Source organism: Homo sapiens, chromosome 21, assembly GCF_000001405.40.
Source record: "Homo sapiens chromosome 21, GRCh38.p14 Primary Assembly".
Taxonomy (NCBI): domain Eukaryota; kingdom Metazoa; phylum Chordata; class Mammalia; order Primates; family Hominidae; genus Homo; species Homo sapiens.
In genome coordinates this window covers 45,365,021-45,379,216 of record NC_000021.9, presented here as the reverse complement: position 1 = coordinate 45,379,216, position 14,196 = coordinate 45,365,021, and the positions used below count along the sequence as shown (strand labels likewise).

The 14,196-nt window shown below is 54.7% G+C and overlaps 1 long non-coding RNA gene and 1 pseudogene across 1 annotated transcript, besides 6 other annotated features; one reads left to right on the top strand and one right to left on the bottom strand.

The window, feature by feature from the left end:
• Positions 2,234 to 2,422: a silencer, noted in NCBI's record as "fragment chr21:46796710-46796898 (GRCh37/hg19 assembly coordinates)". NCBI's record gives its function as "represses an EF-1alpha promoter that drives an FKBP-Casp9 reporter gene in an ReSE screen in phorbol 12-myristate 13-acetate-treated (for megakaryocytic differentiation) K562 erythroleukemia cells {active_cell/tissue: K562(+PMA)}" and the evidence as "EXISTENCE:reporter gene assay evidence [ECO:0000049][PMID:32094911]".
• Positions 2,835 to 3,026, top strand: MTCO1P3 (MT-CO1 pseudogene 3; annotated as a pseudogene).
• On the bottom strand, positions 6,620 to 8,439 carry LOC124905041 (uncharacterized). Its single transcript, XR_007067908.1, has 2 exons — positions 7,974 to 8,439; positions 6,620 to 7,358 (listed from the first exon to the last, which is right to left on the bottom strand). It is a non-coding gene; the product is annotated as an uncharacterized LOC124905041 (long non-coding RNA).
• Positions 8,272 to 8,782: an enhancer, noted in NCBI's record as "H3K4me1 hESC enhancer chr21:46790350-46790860 (GRCh37/hg19 assembly coordinates)". NCBI's record gives its function as "activates a minimal SCP1, AML or CMV promoter by ChIP-STARR-seq in naive H9 embryonic stem cells {active_cell/tissue: H9 hESC(naive)}" and the evidence as "EXISTENCE:reporter gene assay evidence [ECO:0000049][PMID:30033119]".
• Positions 10,744 to 11,495: an enhancer, noted in NCBI's record as "H3K4me1 hESC enhancer chr21:46787637-46788388 (GRCh37/hg19 assembly coordinates)". NCBI's record gives its function as "activates a minimal SCP1, AML or CMV promoter by ChIP-STARR-seq in naive H9 embryonic stem cells {active_cell/tissue: H9 hESC(naive)}" and the evidence as "EXISTENCE:reporter gene assay evidence [ECO:0000049][PMID:30033119]".
• Positions 11,496 to 12,247: an enhancer, noted in NCBI's record as "H3K27ac-H3K4me1 hESC enhancer chr21:46786885-46787636 (GRCh37/hg19 assembly coordinates)". NCBI's record gives its function as "activates a minimal SCP1, AML or CMV promoter by ChIP-STARR-seq in naive H9 embryonic stem cells {active_cell/tissue: H9 hESC(naive)}" and the evidence as "EXISTENCE:reporter gene assay evidence [ECO:0000049][PMID:30033119]".
• Positions 12,933 to 14,132: an enhancer, noted in NCBI's record as "BRD4-independent group 4 enhancer chr21:46785000-46786199 (GRCh37/hg19 assembly coordinates)". NCBI's record gives its function as "activates an origin of replication core promoter dependent on BRD2, P300/CBP, MED14 and CDK7 cofactors, and independent of BRD4, by STARR-seq in HCT116 cells {active_cell/tissue: HCT116}" and the evidence as "EXISTENCE:reporter gene assay evidence [ECO:0000049][PMID:35650434]".
• Positions 13,000 to 13,751: an enhancer, noted in NCBI's record as "NANOG-H3K27ac-H3K4me1 hESC enhancer chr21:46785381-46786132 (GRCh37/hg19 assembly coordinates)". NCBI's record gives its function as "activates a minimal SCP1, AML or CMV promoter by ChIP-STARR-seq in naive H9 embryonic stem cells {active_cell/tissue: H9 hESC(naive)}" and the evidence as "EXISTENCE:reporter gene assay evidence [ECO:0000049][PMID:30033119]".

Sequence of the window (14,196 nt, the reverse complement as noted above, 5' to 3'; positions counted from 1 at the left end):
ATGGGAGCGGCTCTGGACAATGATGAGAAGGAATCAGGCGGCTCGGGGCCACCTTGGCCCTGATGGGAGCGGCTCTGGACAATGATGAGAAGGAATCAGGCGGCTCGGGGCCACCTTGGCCCTGATGGGAGCGGCTCTGGACAGTGATGAGAAGGAATCAGGCGGCTCGGGGCCACTGTGGCCCTGGTGAGAGCAGCTCTGGACAGTGATGAGAAAGAATCAGGCCTCCAGTTTAGGGACTCTGTTCCTGGTGATCCCTGGGCTAAAGGACTAATCAGGGGAATCTCAGTATTTTCCCTGACACGTAAGTCACTGAGGAGGGCGGTGGCACGGTCACAGCAGTGCAATGTGCCTCCCTGTCACCTGAGAGGTCACCCAGGGCCTCACCTGCCTGCTTCTCCAAGGCCTCCCTCCCTGGCCAGCCCCAAAGGAAGGTGAGGTGCTGGGAGGGCAGGGGGAGAACTGCGGGGATGGGGAGGAGTTTGGGGTCAGGCCCTCCTAGAGCTGGCTTTGCGGGACCTCCAGGTCTCAGACCACAACTGCCTTGTCATGCAAAGAGAGGGCCCAGGAGGGAGCAGCCTGGCAGTGCCCTTGTCCCTGTGTATTGGGTGGAAGTGACAGAGAATTCTATGCTTGAAACCCGAGTTGCCCCAGGGCTGGGTGAGTGGATTGGAGACTTGGATTACTAGCCTGGGAGGGTCCATGTGGTTCTGTTTAAAGTTTCAGTAAGAGTCGGCTCCCCTCTTTGGTTTGTTTGTTTGTTAATGAAGATTGCTTCTTCCTTTCGAGTCTTTAGAGGAAGAATCACAAAGAGCCTGGGGCTGGCTGGAATTTTCTCCCGTGCAGTCGTCCAGCCTCCCGTGGCAGGGAGCGGCATCTCAGTGTGCGAAGCCCTTTGTATACTTCCCTGGAATGTGGCTTTTATTTTGTAACAAAGCAAATGTTTTACTGCTGGTTTTCCTTTAACAAATAAATATTGGCTCCAACACATGTCAGAGAAAGTCGACAACAATAAACCCAAGTGTCTGTGATTAATGAAGGAGAAAATGATCCTCCCCACTCTTCCCCTCCCAAAACATAGGTCCCAAGATGGGATTTTCAGCCGTGGACCCCTCCAGAGCCTGGGTGGGTTCTGTACTTTTGGGTGGTTGAGTTTTTTCTCTGGCCTGGGGAAGCCCCATCCTGGAGTCCTTTATCTGCTGTTTCCCACCTGTCAAGTGGGGTTGGAATCCGATAATGGGAGAAATGGCCCCTCTGCGCTCTAAGGAAGGGCTCTGCGTGGTGCTAGTACCTGCTTTCATATCTGTGTTTTTAAAAACACAAGGCCAAAGTGTTGATTCTCCCAGGAGATTTATGGTATCAGCCAACCCCTGGGCACTGTGGGGCTGGGGTAGCCCTTCCAAGTAGCCCCCATAAGAGCAGGGGCCTTATGGACCTTTATACACTGTATCCTTCCCTATTGGCTTATTTAGGGGAGGAAAACCTTTATCACTCCCCTCAGGTTCTGTTCCTGAGGTTTGCAAATTAAACTGACAAAAGGCAGATTTGCAGCAGAAAAGATAGCAGAAAATTAAATTTAAATTTGAATGTTATGTGCACGGAAGCTTCACAGACAAGAAGCAAAAACCCAAAGAAGGGATGAGACACGGGGACTTATATACCATTTTAACAAAGGGTGATAAATTGTGGAGAAGGACAAAGGAAAAAGGGGGTTTGGGCTCCTAGGGGTGGTAGATTGTTGGCGGTGATTAAAAAATGCATGGGAGGTAAGTGTTGTTTGGTAGGGGCTTTTTCGTAGTTAAGAGTCATTCTCCTCTGCCTGGTACTGGAGAGGGGAACACCTTTACCCAGAGAAATGTATGCCCTGCTTTTAGGCGAAAAAGGAGGGTAGAGAGCTCTTCCTGAATCTGTAGCTTCTGAATTGCCTTCAGCTCAAAATAATTCTTATGCAAAAGTGGCATATTTTGGGGTCATGTATTACAATCCTCTTCACCAAGGGCTGCTCCCAGAGGGGGTGCAGTTGAACAAGGGAGCCATCAACATGCCCAGCAGCCAGGTCCCCCGGGGTCTGGGTAGGGCCCCTGGCCTCCACCACCAAGACCTCCTAGGCTGACCAGTGTCATCCTTCAAAGCTGACACCCCATTGGTCAACACCAGTTAAACCGGCTTCATCATCAAGAGGTTTTTTCAAGGAAAACATTTGCCTGAACAAGAATGCAGGATTGCACCGCAGCCTTTGCTGAAGGCAGAAGAGGCTTCAGTTGGATCTCACATGCCCTCCCTCTGCTGCAGAACATGGCTGATTCCCCAGGGGCTGGTTTCCCGCTCTCATTCCACTGATGTCACAGGGGCTCTGAGTTTGGTTCTTGCAACATCTGAGTTTGGTGTTTTATGGCCACCATGGGTTCCCAGGGCAAAGCTCCCACAGAAACTCAGCCCAGGTTCAATTAATGGGGAATGCTCCCCCTTCTCTCCAGCTGCTGCGGAAGCCCCCACCCAGGAGAGGACCAATCTTGCTGGGGAGCCGGGGCTCCCAACAGGGACCCCCAGAGACATAGGCAGGCAGGTAAGCCAGCACTCAGGGCCACATGGGCAGCTGGATGGTGTCCCTGGGCAGGGTCTGCTCATCCCTGTGGCTGGTGGGGGCTTGTCAGAGTCACAGGGGATGAAGCTGGGGGAAGTGGCTCAGCAGTGGCTGGCCAGGCCTTCCAAAAGACCCCTGGCTGCCATGAGGATGCAGCAACAGGGGACGAGCCACCTCCAGGCCACCTCCAGGCTATCATCTCTAGGCCTGTCCAGGCCATCTCTAAGCCATCATCTCCAGGCCACCTCCAGCTTTAAGCCTCCTTATTCGGGCTGAACTAGGCCAACCCGGCAACCTTCTAGGTAATGACCACATCCACGACGTCATCGTCACAGCCCATGCATTCGTTATAATCTTTTTCATAGTAATACCCATCATAATCGGAGGCTTTGGCAATTGACTAGTCCCCTTAATAATTGGTACCCCCCACGTGGCATTTCCCTGCCATCTCCAGGCCATCTCTAGGCCATCATATCCAGGCCCTCTCCAGGCCACCTCCAGGCCATCATCTCCAGGCCACCTCCAGGCCATCATCTCCAGGCCACCTCCAGGCCACTTCCAGGCCATCATTTCCAGGCCACCTCCAGGCCATCATCTCCAGGCCACCTCCAGGCTGCCTCCAGGCCACCTCCAGGCCATCATCTCCAGGCCACCTCCAGGCCATCATCTCCAGGCCACCTCCAGGCCATCATCTCCAGGCCACCTCCACGCAGGATGCCCCCTCATCTCTGTGCTCTACTCTTCTCTTCCTCTCCTGTCTCCGGAGTGGTCTGCAAAGACCTCTTCCCCACTGCCCCTTTCTCTGGTCTTCAGATATTTCATCTAAAAGCCCCAGAGAGGATTGCTTGGAGCATGGCTCATCAAGGCAGAGCCCTGGACTTGGGAATGGGTCCCCAGTGATTGGCAGAGATGGGGCACCCTCCTCCATCCCCCCCAGCCTGCGGTGCCTCTGCTCCTCCCTGCCTCCATCCCCCAGCCTGCAGTGCCTCTGCTCCTGCCCCTCCTCCATTCCCCAAATGCAGTGCCTCTGCTCCTCCCCCTCCTCCATCCCCCAGCCTGCAGTGTCCCTGCTCCTCCCCCTCCTCCATCCCCCCAGCCTGCAGTGTCCCTCCTCCTCCCCCTCCTCCATCCCCCAGCCTGCAGTGTCCCTCCTCCTCCCCCACCTCTGTGGTTGACCCTCAGCTCCCCTTCCATGAGGAAGATCGAGGGAGCCTCCATGGTCCCCGCCATCCAGCATCCCCAAGTGTGTCCTCCTCTATATGTGCACTCCCTGCTACGGCCGCTGGACTCAGGAAGACCCAGCCCCTCCCTCCCTCCCCACATCCTGCTCTGCATGGTGCTGGAGGACAGACACCCACCGTCCTGTCCTGCTCCTCTCGGCCCTTTGCTTGCACCCATGGCATCAGTCAGATGCCCAGCCCCACCCACAGCTGAAGTCTGTCCAGCAAGTCACCCACCAGCCTCCCAGTCATGGCCGTCAGCCGACCTCTTTCTGTCTGTCCTTGGAATGTGCTTCTCCTGGCTCTCCCACCCCCCGCCTGACACCCCACTGCCAATCTCCCATGCCCCTCATAGGGTCGGAGACCCCAGTGCCTGGCCCCTTCTGCCATTCACCTCATCACTCCCTGGGCCATCTTGCCCAGCCTCATGGCTTCCCAGAGATCGCACAGACCCCTCCCAGCCTTACATCCCCGTCCCCAAATCTGCTTCCTCCCAATGCCCATTTTCAGGCCAAGGAGGTTACTTAGTTCCCATCTCGAACAGAACATTTCAACAGACGCCCCCTCCCCTCCCCGCCCCCCACAGCCCCACAGCTTTCCTGTGCTCCCTGTTCAGGCACTGGAACCACCATGAACAAGTCTGCAGCTACTGAAAGGTCAGGCTCTGTGGAAGGGGAGAGAACGGCACAGCCCAGTGGGCTCTGCCCACACCCCCGTGCAGGCATCTAGAGGGGCCACAACAATGAGACCAGCGTACAATTCCAGGATGTGTCTCTGTTCCTCCAGGCCAGGACAGTGTCATCAGCCACTGCAGCAGCCCAGCTAGGGATGAGGAGGGGCAGGGGAGGAGGCAGGGGTGGGGAGGAGGCAGGGGAGGGGCAGGGGTGGGGGCAGCGCTGCAGGAGGGTGGTGTCCATGCGGGTGTCTGCTTCTGTTCCCTCCACCAGAGCTCCTGGTGTGGGCTGTGCGGGTCCCTCTGGGCGGCATCCACCTCCAGGGCTTTCCTCTGCTCTGGGCAGTGCTTGGACATGGTGGAGGGGCAGGCACTGCCCTTGAGCCAGTGGCAACATCCTCTTGGTCCCTCAAATTCCCCCTGGAGCTGCCTGATCCAGTCCCCCTTCCCCACGAGGGCTGATTGGACCCGAGGCACCAAGGAGCCTGGCTTCCACCCTGGGACGGACTCTCTGCAGGAGGGGCCGGCGCCTGCACTGGGCTGATGGTCACCTGCGTCCCAGGGGAGTCCAGCCCCCAGGCTCTGCAGCACCTGGCTGTGGTCCAGCTGCACCTCCACGGGTCCTGGGGGGGCTTCTCTGGCTTTGCTCATGGAACAGTGTGGCAACCCCACCTTGAGCTCTCCCCTCATCAGGAGGGACCCCCGTGGGGAGGAGCCCACAGCCAAACCCAGCTTAAGGGTTGTACCCCAGGGCTGGTCTCAGTTGGGTGGGAGAAGTAAGCAGGGGTTTCTGAGGAGGCTGGCCCATCTCAGACCCTGCTGCTGATCCTGGCCTTCAGGCCAAGAGCTCCATGGCTGAGGGGCAGCTTCTATTTGGGACCACCCAGGGTTTCTGGGCTTTACTGTCAAGAGTCTGAGTTTGAAAAGGATGATGGCAGGGGGCTGGCAGGGTATCACCCCTGGTCTTAGGTGAGGTGGGTGATGGCATTTCTCAGCTGACCAGCTTGGGCGTGTGACCTCGGAGGTGTCCATGGGACAGGAATGCCCATCTACCACATTCCCCATGGAACATGGCAGTAGCTCAAAGCAGCTCCAGAGATGACTGTTAGGTCAGCCCCTGGCCCTGCCCCAAACCTGGTGTGTGCTGGGGGTGAGTGATTTTACTTCTCTGTAAAATGGGGGTGTTTCACACCTCCTGAGGGTGTTAAGAGGATAAGGGGCACAGAAGCTTCTGCACCGTCAGTCCAAATGAGTATTAAGTATTCATGTGCTCCCTGATGCCCCCTGGCCTGCGGCAGGCAGTAGTGGATGGGCCTCTCACTGGCAGTGAATCTGGTGCATAGATTTTACTGGTGGCTCATGCTCCCACTCTCTGGGTCCCACCTTTGCTGTGTGACTTGGGACACCCCAGGCTCTGATGATGATACAGCCTAGTGACTCTCTTTGGCCAAAGGGGTGTCAGCAAACATGGCCCAGGCCCAGGCTTCAGAAGTGAGGCTGTGTGGCTGGACTTGTTCCCTGCAGTGCCTCTGCCACCACCATTAGACCATGCCCAGGCTAGTCTGATGGGGGATGGAGGTGTGTGTGCACTGGTGCTGATCACCCGCAGCAAACCCCAGTGTGTGAGCTCGCCCAGGTGCTGAGTCACCCGCAGCCAACCCCAGTGTGTGAGCTCACCCAGACAAGTTCAAGACAAATATACAAAGAAAAATACACCTATGCATATCACAGTCAGATTGCTGAAAGCTAAAGACAAAATTTTAAAAACGGGAAAAAAGGCAACTTCTTTCAAAGGAAAACAAAACTTAAGCTAACTTTCCCAAGGAGATGATGGAGGCTGGGAGACAATGGAATGAGACCGTTACAAAGTTTAGAGAGAAAATGCAGCTGTCTCCTGGTATCCAGAGTGGATTGGTCCCAGGACCTCCCGGAGATGCCAAAATCTGCAGATGCTCAAGTCCGTGCTGTAAAATGGTGCAGTGTTTGCATACCACCTCCACACACCCTCCCATATGCTTCAGATCATCTCTGTGTTACTTACAATACCTAATGTGCTGTAAATGCTATGTAAAGAGTCGGTATACTGTGTTATTCAGGGAATAATAACAAGAAAAAGTCTGCATATGGTCAGTACAGATGCAATTTTTGTTTCCAATATTTTTAATTAGTGATTGGTTGAACCCATGAATACAGAGGGCCAGCTGTAAGTTCCAATCAAGGGTGTTTTGAGCATTAAATTAATTTATTTAAATTTGTATTCTGAGATCATTTTAGACCTTCTACACAAGAAGCGTTATAAAAATAGTCCAAGAGTCCACATATTCACTGAGCTTCCCCAGTGTTAATGTATTACATAACCATGGTACAGTTATCAAAACTAAAAAATTGTTTTTGGTACGCTATTATCAAAGAACCAACAGGCTCTAGCAGCATTTCACCTGTTCTTCACTAACGTTCTTGCTCTGTTCCAGGATCCCATCATGCTTCTCCTGTCAAATCTCCTTCGTCTCCTCACATCTGGGACCCTTTCTCAGTGTGTCCTGGCCTTTCATAACCTGCACACTCTTGAAGAGGATTGCCAGCAATGTCGGAGAGTGACCCGCGGTGGGGGTTTGTCTGAGGCTTACTCACAATTGCCGTGGGTTATGGACTTGTGGAGAGAATACCACGTACGCGAGTGCCCTTTCACGACATCACGTCAGGGTGCAGGGTATTGTCCTGACTTACCACTGTGAAGTCACCTTTGATCACTTGGGCAAGGTGAACTCTGTGCATTTCTCCAACATAAAGTTATTATTTTTCCCTTTTCTTGCTCAATTCTTGGAAATTGAGTCACTAAATTCAGTCCACACTCAAGGGGAGTGACATTAAGCTCCGTCTCCTAGAAACAGGGAGATAAATGAGGGTGAGGACGCATGCTACAGCCACTGCAATAACTGCTATGTTGAGTTACGTAAATATCCTGTTTTTCCTTAAAATTCTGTCCACTAATTTTAGCATTTATCAGTGGTGACAGCAGCAATTATTACTGTAATGTCATAACAATGATTTTCTATTTCCCTTATTCCTTTTACATTTATCCATTGGAATTTTTCTGTAGTTAAGAGTTGCCCCTTCTTATGAATTTACATATTCAATCATTAATCAAATCAACGTGGACTCCTGTATATTCATTTTTCCTTTGGGCTTGAAGTCAATAATATTGTAATTTATGTCATTGCTCAGTAACCAACTATCTTATATCCAGGAAAAATATCCTGTAAAAATGAAGTCAAAATACAAGCATTTCCAGACACAGGAAAATAGAAAGTGTTTGCTTCCAACCACTGGAAGGGATCCCCAGGGGGCTGCTCTGATGAGGGGTGGCCGTGGCCCACAGAACACAGCACAGAGAGGGGGGTGTGGAGGCCTTGGGGGGTAGGGACCACCAGAGTCACAGGACATCAGCGTCACATGACAGGCTTCACGGGTTTAGAAGCAGTGGGTTAACACTCACGGCCGCCACAGCAGAAGGCGTAGAAGGGAGATGCATTCATCTTCTGCAGCTGCGTAGAAATCTCCGTGAGTTTAGCGGCTTGAGAACGCAGACCTGCACTCACAGACGGTTTCTGGTGTCAGAAGTCGGGGGGCTCCACTGGATTTGCTGCCGAGAGTCTCTCGGCCAGAGTCCAGGCGTTGGCCGGCTGGGCTCTGAGCGGGAGGCCTGGGAGAGGACCCGCTTCTGAGCCCATTATTGTTGTCGGCAGAATTCAGGTTTTTGCAATTGTGAGCCCAGGGCCCCCTCTCCCTCCTGGCTGTCAGCTGGGGCTTCTGCTCCTGAAGGTCCCACATTCCCCATCATCCTCCCCTTCTTTTCCAAGCCAGTGAATCGCTCCAGCACGAGCCAGGGAACGTTCTCTGCCCTCGAAGGCTCACGTGCTCAGGCTGGGCCCGTCCAGATGATCTCCGTATCATGAGCCAGTGAATCGCTCCAGCACGGGCCAGGGAACGTTCTCTGCCCTCGAAGGCTCACGTGCTCAGGCTGGGCCCGTCCAGATGATGTCATAAGACCGCAACCCTCATTAAAAGTCTCTTTTCAATTGTGTAATATGTAACATAACATATTCACAGGGTCTAGGGATTTGAACAAGCACATCTTTGGGGGAGGGGTCATTCTATCTATCACAAGGAATCATGGAATTAAAGAGTTCAAAGGTCCTGGCGTTGTCTGGGGAGAGGTAAAAAACTAACTTCCATTAGATTCTTAAAAATCAAAGATGCATATTGTAATTTCTGAAGTCACCACTAATAGAACACTAAAAGAATCTGTAGCAAGCAAGCGAATAGAAGGAGAGTATAAAATAATAGAAAGATAGGTAATAAAACAAGAAAGAAGATAAAGGAGAAGACAAGGAACTTGGAACAGGAAGGGAAGCCCACCTGCAGGATGGCAGTGGAAACCCCACATATTCGAGGTTACATCAATGGCAAGTGAGCAAACACTCAAACATTGTCAGACTTGGTTTAGAGAAGGCAGCAAAATCCAGTAATATTCTGTTTATGGGGGATACATCAAAAAACACACAGAAAAATGGCAAGTAAAGGAATGCAAAAATATATCATTTAAACACCAAGCAGAAGAAAGCCACTACAGTTGCCATGATGTCAAAGTAGCTGAGAAACCACAGAGGTGACTGTGGCTCAGCAGCAAAGGCTTTTCTTATTTTTTTATTTATTTTGAGACAGAGTCTCGCTCTGTTGCCCAGGCTGGAGTGCAGTGACGCAATCTCGGCTCACTGCAACCTCCGCCCCCTGGGTTCAAGTGATTCTCCTGCCTCAGCCTCCCAAGTAGCTGGGATTAGAGGTGCTCGCCACCACGCCCAGCTAATTTTTGTATTTTTAGTAGAGACGCGGTTTCGCCATGTTGGTCAGGCTGGCCTCGAACTCCTGACCTCAGGTGATCCGCCCGCCTCGGCCTCCCTAAGTGCTGGGATTACAGGCGTGAGGCACCGCGCCCAGCCGGGAGGGCCTTTCAACAAGCGGTGCCATGTGGGCGGCTTTTCAACAAGCCGCGCTGCAGGGATGGGGTCTCTAATCGGAGGAAATGAATCCCGATCTCACCTCCCATCATGCTAAAGTATCAGTTCCATATGGATTATTGCTCTCAAGATAAAATAATAGAGATTTTAGAATGTGAAATAAGGAAATATATAATCATGATATCTTACACAGATACCAGAAGAGTGTATCACAAGGACTACATGAAGTTTAAGGACTTCTGTTATCAAAAACACTGTGAAGACTGAAAAATTAAGCCACACAGTGAGAGAAGCTACCGTACGTGTCATTTCTTAGGATTCACAGAGGACTTGTGTCGAGAATGTATGAAGAACTCTGACAAATCAATGAGAATAAAGCGCCTGCCTGGCAGAGGCAGGGACAGACCGAGGCGCGTCGCGATGCGGGTGTCCGGTGAGCACGTGGGAGGGGCCCAACCTCACCCATCGTCCGGGAGGTGCAGACTAAACCCTGAGACGCCGACCTACCCCAGAGAGGCCAACATTTCAAAGATTGACAGTTCCAGGCGGTGGGCAGAGTGCCACGGCCGGTGTGGAAAACGGTGGCCGGCATCCACTCCAGTCTAACGTTTCGTACCTGGGACCCGGCAGTCCTAGGCCTCGGTGTGTGTTCTGGGTAGGAAGCACCTACTGGTGTTCACCCAAAGACATGAGATTGTTTATAGCAGCATTATTCCCAATACCCCTAAACTGGAAAGAACTCAGACGACCACTGGCAGTGGGGTAGGGGTGGAACAGCTACATAATAGAACACGTGGCTGCGATGAAACCTGCTCCTGCAATGTGCAGCCACATGGCTGCATCTCACAACTGGGAAGCACCTGTCAGGAGGCGCTGTCCCTCCCAGGATCCTGCAAGCACAAGGTGGGCACCTGGGAGGAAGGATGTCCTTTGTGCTGTGGCTCACTACAGCCCTTCTCCCAGGGGCCCCGGGCATAAGGCTCCATCCCCACGGTGCCTGGACGTCCCAGCCAACTCAGGGTCCTTCCCTCGCTTCCTCCACCTCCAAACCGTCCTCTCGCTCTGTGTCCCATGGGCTGCCCAGCAGGAGAGCTGCAGGGTGGCCTGCGAGGAACTGAGGACACACACCGTCCTCCCTGTGCAGAATAAGGACAGAGTCTCCCTCTTCTCTCCTCTTCTAAGTCTTTCTCTGTCCTTTTCAAATGTATGTAAATCTGTTTTCTAGCTAAGGAAGCCTCTGCCCAGGCTCAACTCAGGAACGTTTCCTTGGGAGATTAGCGCCTCAGAGCAGCGGGCCTCACTCGCCAAACTGCAAACCCCCCTGAAGGCACAGGTGCTCAGTGTTCACTCGGCTGTAAGGAGTGAGGTTTCTGTCTCTGCGATGCCTTCAGTGGGCTGCCCCAGCCGCACCTCGCATTCTGGCTTTAACGCTTACTCAGTAATAGAATTGCTTTTTCTCTTCCACCTTTCTGAAGAGGTTTTCTGGGTTGGAAAATACGTTGCGTCAGATTCTATTTCCCCAGCAGATCCCTGCCAGGAGATGACAGCCGGGAAGACAGCGGGCTCGAGGGCCTCTCCTGGGCCCCAGAAGCCGCTCGCTCCAGCCTGGGTACTGCGGCCATCCTAGCTGCATGTGGGCCATCCAGTGCTAAACTCCCCTCCACTCCCAGGTTTGTGTCTCCCTCAGCCAGAGTCTGAAACCCCCTGGGGAGGAGCATCTGCCTTGTCAGAGCCCGTTCAGGTTTGTGTCTCCCTCAGCCAGGGTCCGACCTGCCCTGGGCAGGAGCATCTGCCTTGTCAGAGCCGGTTGCCGTGTGCACTGCGTTTGCTCCCGGTGGTCAAGGCCACACCAAGTGTCAGGAGTTCCCAGGCCCTGCAGCAGATGAACCTCTTCCCCTCACTGCCACACACACTCTGCAAGACAAGACCTCACTGAGTCCCCTCTGGACCCACTGGGCTCAAAAGCCACGCCCAGGGGCTGACCATGGGATCCCAAGGACAAGGACTTCACCCTGTGCCTTGTAACTGAGGACACAAACTTTTCTTTCTCTCTCCAAATGCTTTTTGCACAGTGCATGGCAGGCCAGCAATGTGGCCTGGGTTAGCTCTGCCCCGTGTGGGACGGACAGGCCAGGCACAGCCTCCAGGATGCCTGGTCTCCCTGCTGGAGCTCCAGGCGACACCCAGCCTCGTCTCCTCAGCCACGCTGGCCATGCCTGGACACGCATCAGAACCTCCCCATCTGGGACCCCCAGGAGTACCTTTCCCAGGGGTCCCCTTATTTCCCTAGCCTTTGTGCAGTTGTCAGGGACTGTACATGATGGTTATGGAGGAGTGTTTCACCAGGCAGAGGCAGAGAGGAGAGGAATCTGCAGAGATAGAAGGCGCCACCCCACAGCCCAGCCTTGGCAGCCAGCAGTGGGAGAGGGGCTCACGTGTACTTATATCTGGAATGAGCGGCTGGGGCCGGATGCCCATGGGCCGGGTGTGGAGGGAACTGGTGCAGAGGTCGGGGAAAGGCTGGCGTGGGACGCACAGCACTGCACTGGCTGGAAGTGGCCCCCAGAGGCCAGGCTGGTTGCTGGTCTCCAGAGCCAGGAGGACCAGGCCTGGGAGCCCCACCCCACGTCCAGTTGCAGCGAGGGCTGCGTCCCTCCCCCGCCAGCTGGGCCTGAGTCACCTCTGCGGCTGCTCTCTTCCCAGGCCCCACTGACCCTCCAGAGCCTGGAGGGCCGCCAACTGCATCCAACCTCCCTTCTCCAACCTCCAGCTCCTCTCCCCAGCACCTTCTGCTCTCTCTCACCCCACAGGTCTGAGTCTGAACCCCAAGGACCCGTGAGGTGGCCGGGAGAACGGGGCCAGGTGGAGGGGGTCGGACTCTCACTCCTCTGTTTAATTCTGTGTGAACTTCCCATAGTGGGCTGGAAACGCATCTGAGCCCATGCTGACTTCTGGTCAGCCCTCGGCCTGAGGGTCCTTCACTGCCAGAAGGAGGTTGTGCCACGGCCAACCCCGCCAGGCTGTCCCCCTCACCAGGCGACCCAGTGGGAGCACCTCCCTGGAAGCAGCTCACGCACCACCTCTCATACATGCCAATACTGCAACCTCGCATCTCAGAGGGGCCGAGTGCACACCACCACCCGCCCCGCCGCTGACCCGGAGGCCCCAGGAGTGGCCCAGACAGAGAGGACGCGAGCCGAGCCCTGTGTAGCCTCCTTGCCCCAGAGACTCTTCCTTCAGTGATTCTTTTTTGTTGTTGTTGTTGTTTTTGTTTTGTTTTTCTTGAGACGGAGTCTTGCTCTTGTCACCCAGGCTGGAGTGCAGTGGCATGATCTCGGCTCACTGCAACCTCTGCCTCCTGGGTTCAAGTGATTCTCCTGCCTCAGCCTCCCAAGTAGCTGGGACTACAGGTGCCCGCCACCATGCACGGCTAATTTTTGTATTTTTTTAGTAGAAACGGGGTTTTGCCATGTTGGCTGGTCTCGAACCCCTGACCTCGTGATCCACCCGCCTTGGCCTTCCAAAGTGCTGGGATTACAGGTGTGAGCCACCGCACCTGGCCCCTTCAGTTTTTCTTCTATAGCCAAGCCGCTGGCGCCAAGAAAAACCAAGGCGCCTGGAACCCTGATTTCTGACGTGAGGGATAAAACTCCTGATGTCATAGAAGACACAGGCTCATGGGTGCCAACACCGCCTGGTTTACAGAGGAATGCGGTGAGGAATGCGGTGAGGAATGTCACGTTCCCACACCTCCCTGGGCTTTGAACTCAGAATCTGTGAAAATCCCCCAAAGGCCATTCAAGATAAAAGGAACTGAAAAAGCCGCCCGCTCCCAGTGCCTCTCCCATCAAAGCACAGACGGGAATTAGATTCAAGATTCAAGGCCAGCAGACGGTGGGAGGTCCCCCTCTCTCCACCCGCGCTCGGAGGCACTTTGTGGGTTCAGTGACAACAGGCTGGTCCCACTGTAGCCCCAACGGCCACACCTGGAGTCAGACGCACGAGTCAGAGCTGCCTTCCGCTCTTGCCATCAGCTCCTCAGGGCCCCTGTTGGAGCAATCCAGCCTCTCCTGGAGAAGCTCCGGGTCTCCTCTGGGTGAACGCCTCCGTGGATGAATTCCGGGTTTCTCTCCTCTCAGGGATCCCCGCCCTGGGGTCTCTCCAGTCTCCTCTGCCGCTCAAACAGGGTTTCTCCTGGGGAGTGAGGGCTGGGCCCACGCCTTGCCTCTTCCCCTCCCAAGGCCTGGTGTAAACCGTGTGCTCCTCCAGGACTGGGGACCCAGAAATCCTTCTGGTGCGGCCGGCTCTGGCAGACCAAGGCTTGGCCGCTCACTATGGCCCGGTGACACTGGCTTGGCGGCTCACTATGGCCCGGTGACGCTGGCTTGGCGGCTCACTATGGCCCGGTGACGCTGGCTTGGCCGCTCACTATGGCCCGGTGACGCTGGCTTGGCCGCTCACTATGGCCCGGTGACGCTGGTGACGCTGCGCCTGTCAGGCTCCTCGGGTTTGACAGGGAGGAGCGGGCTTGAAGGAGCCCCCTTTGCTCCAGCCGGGACCTGGCCCAACTCCAGGGGCAGGGGTCTGCGGGGCGCCAGAAATCGCCTGGCAGCATTGCGTATCTGGGGCTCCTGGGACCCCAGAGAGTAGGAGGGGAGGGAGGGCAATAGCGCGGCCCTGCCGTGAGGATGCTGGCGAGTC